This window comes from Homo sapiens, chromosome 4, assembly GCF_000001405.40.
Source record: "Homo sapiens chromosome 4, GRCh38.p14 Primary Assembly".
Classification (NCBI taxonomy): Eukaryota; Metazoa; Chordata; class Mammalia; order Primates; family Hominidae; genus Homo; species Homo sapiens.
In genome coordinates, this window is record NC_000004.12 from 100,965,259 (window position 1) to 100,967,467 (window position 2,209).

At 41.1% G+C, this 2,209-nt stretch overlaps 1 annotated feature.

Annotated features, from left to right (window-relative positions):
* Positions 1,177-1,677: an enhancer, noted in NCBI's record as "H3K27ac hESC enhancer chr4:101887592-101888092 (GRCh37/hg19 assembly coordinates)". NCBI's record gives its function as "activates a minimal SCP1, AML or CMV promoter by ChIP-STARR-seq in primed H9 embryonic stem cells {active_cell/tissue: H9 hESC(primed)}" and the evidence as "EXISTENCE:reporter gene assay evidence [ECO:0000049][PMID:30033119]".

Below are 2,209 nucleotides of genomic sequence, written 5' to 3' on the forward strand. Positions count from 1 at the left end.
GTGTGGTGGGGTTTATAGAGCAAGAGAGAAAACAGAAAACAAATAAATACATAGATAGCACAAATGAAATATGTCACACAGTGATAAGTATTTAGAAGAAAAGCAAAGGACTAGGGGAACAGAGAGAGAACTGGCAATAAGGTAACATTTGAGCAGAGACTAAATGAAGCAAAGGATAGCAGCATCTGGACAGCTGTGAAGAGTGATTTCTAAGCAGAAGTTACCTGAAGCGACAGTCTCTGTGTAATTTAGAAGAGGAAAAGATACTACTGTGGTTGCTGTGGGATAATACAGCAAGAGGAGAACATTGGAAATGAGGTCACAGAAATAGTAGGGAGCATAGACCATGGCCCTATGTGAAATTCAAAGGCATTGGAAGATTGTTTGCAGAATTTAATAATCTGGCTTATATCTGTAAGGGTCATTCTGGCCATTGCATGAAGAACATACGGTAGGGCCAGGAGCAGATGCAATCATTGGCTTAGATAGAAGGAGAGGTCAAGGACGACTCCTAAGCATTTGACCTCTGCCCCTGGGAAGCACTGGTACCATTCCTACAAATTGGCAATACTGGAAGTGTGCTTAGCTTTCTGGACAAACAGTAGAGGAATCACCAAAGGAGAGGAAAGAATGAAATATATCTTGATTATTTGAGTTTGAGGTAGTTTTTGACATCCAAATAGTGATGTAACTCTAGGAGTCACTAGAAAGCAGAGAACAACTGAAATTTCAGGTGCAGAATAGATTGCCTCAGGAGGGAGAATATACTGGAAGAGAGAGGGCTGAAGCCCCAGTCATGAACAATAACAACATTTAATTGGTGGAAGAGAGGAGAATAACAATCACAGTAACAACAATAGGAGGGAAAGGAGAAAAAGCAAGAGTTGAAGCAGCATTTATCTAGTGCTTATATATCAGGCACACAACCTGTTGCTTCACAACCCTATAAGGGTCCTTGCATTACCTTTGAAATTCAATAATTTAACTAGATCTAAAATCCTGTTGTCAGCCTTGTATTAATTTTGCTCAGGCATCTGCAGATTCAAGTTGTTCTTTATGCTAGATAAAATTTTCACTATTCGTATCTTTAGACATTTCTTTTGTTGTTATTCCATATGTGTTGACCTCTTTTGCTCTCTTTTATCTCTGTCATCCACATCTATTCCTTTTTCTGAAATTATTTCCACATCTTTTTGGGTTTTTCTCTTTCACTCTGTGCAATTTCCTCAAGCCAACCCTAGATAACCTCCATTTACATTTACATTTACATTTTCTTTTATTTAAATTGTTAAAATGTGGCTTTCATCTCTGTGATTTTTTTGTTTTGTTTTTTGTTTTTGTTTTTGTTTTTTGAGACAGAGTCTCTCTATTGTCGCCCAGGCTGGAGAGAAATGGCGTGATCTCAGCTCACCACAACCTCTGCCTCCTGGGTTCAAGCGACTCTCCTGCCTCAGCCTCCCAAGTAGCTGGGATTACAGGCGCCTGCCACCATGCCCAGCTAATTTTTGTGCTTTTAATAGAGACGGGGTTTCACCATGTTGTCCAGGCTGGTCTCAGACTCCTGACCTCAGGTCATCTGCTTGTCTCTACCTCCCAAAGTGCTGGGATTACAGGTATGAGCCACCGTGCCCCACCTCTGTGATTTTTTTTTTTCACCTTCCATTTCCTTTTGGAAATTTTCTCTCCTTGATGCATTCTCTTCTCTGTTTTCATGCCCTCTCACACTGTCATTGATGTTTCCTTCCTGCATCATTGTTCTGTCTCAGCTTTCAGCAGCTTGTTCTTGTCCCTGGGCTCAGGCAACCCTCCCACTTCAGCCTCGGGAGTAGCTGAAACTACAGACATGTGCCACCACACCTGGCTAATTTTTGTATTTTTTACGGAGATGGGGTTTCACCCTGTTGCCCAGGCAGGTCTCAAACTCCTGAGCTCAAGTGATCCTCTCGCCTCAGCCTCACAAAGTGCTGGGATTACATATGTGAGCCACTGCACCCAGACTAGTTCCATAGATTTTTAACAACATCTGTGCTTCTGTGACTCACAAACTTAAATTTCAAGCCCAGCCTTCTACCTGGAAACTTACATTCAGCTTTCTAACAAATTCGTTTCAAAGTGGCCCCTCAGTGTGAAGAAATTTAAAATGAAGCTCTAGTTTTCTCTCTCAAATCTGCTTTTATTCCCCATCTTTTTTCATTTTGTAAATTATACC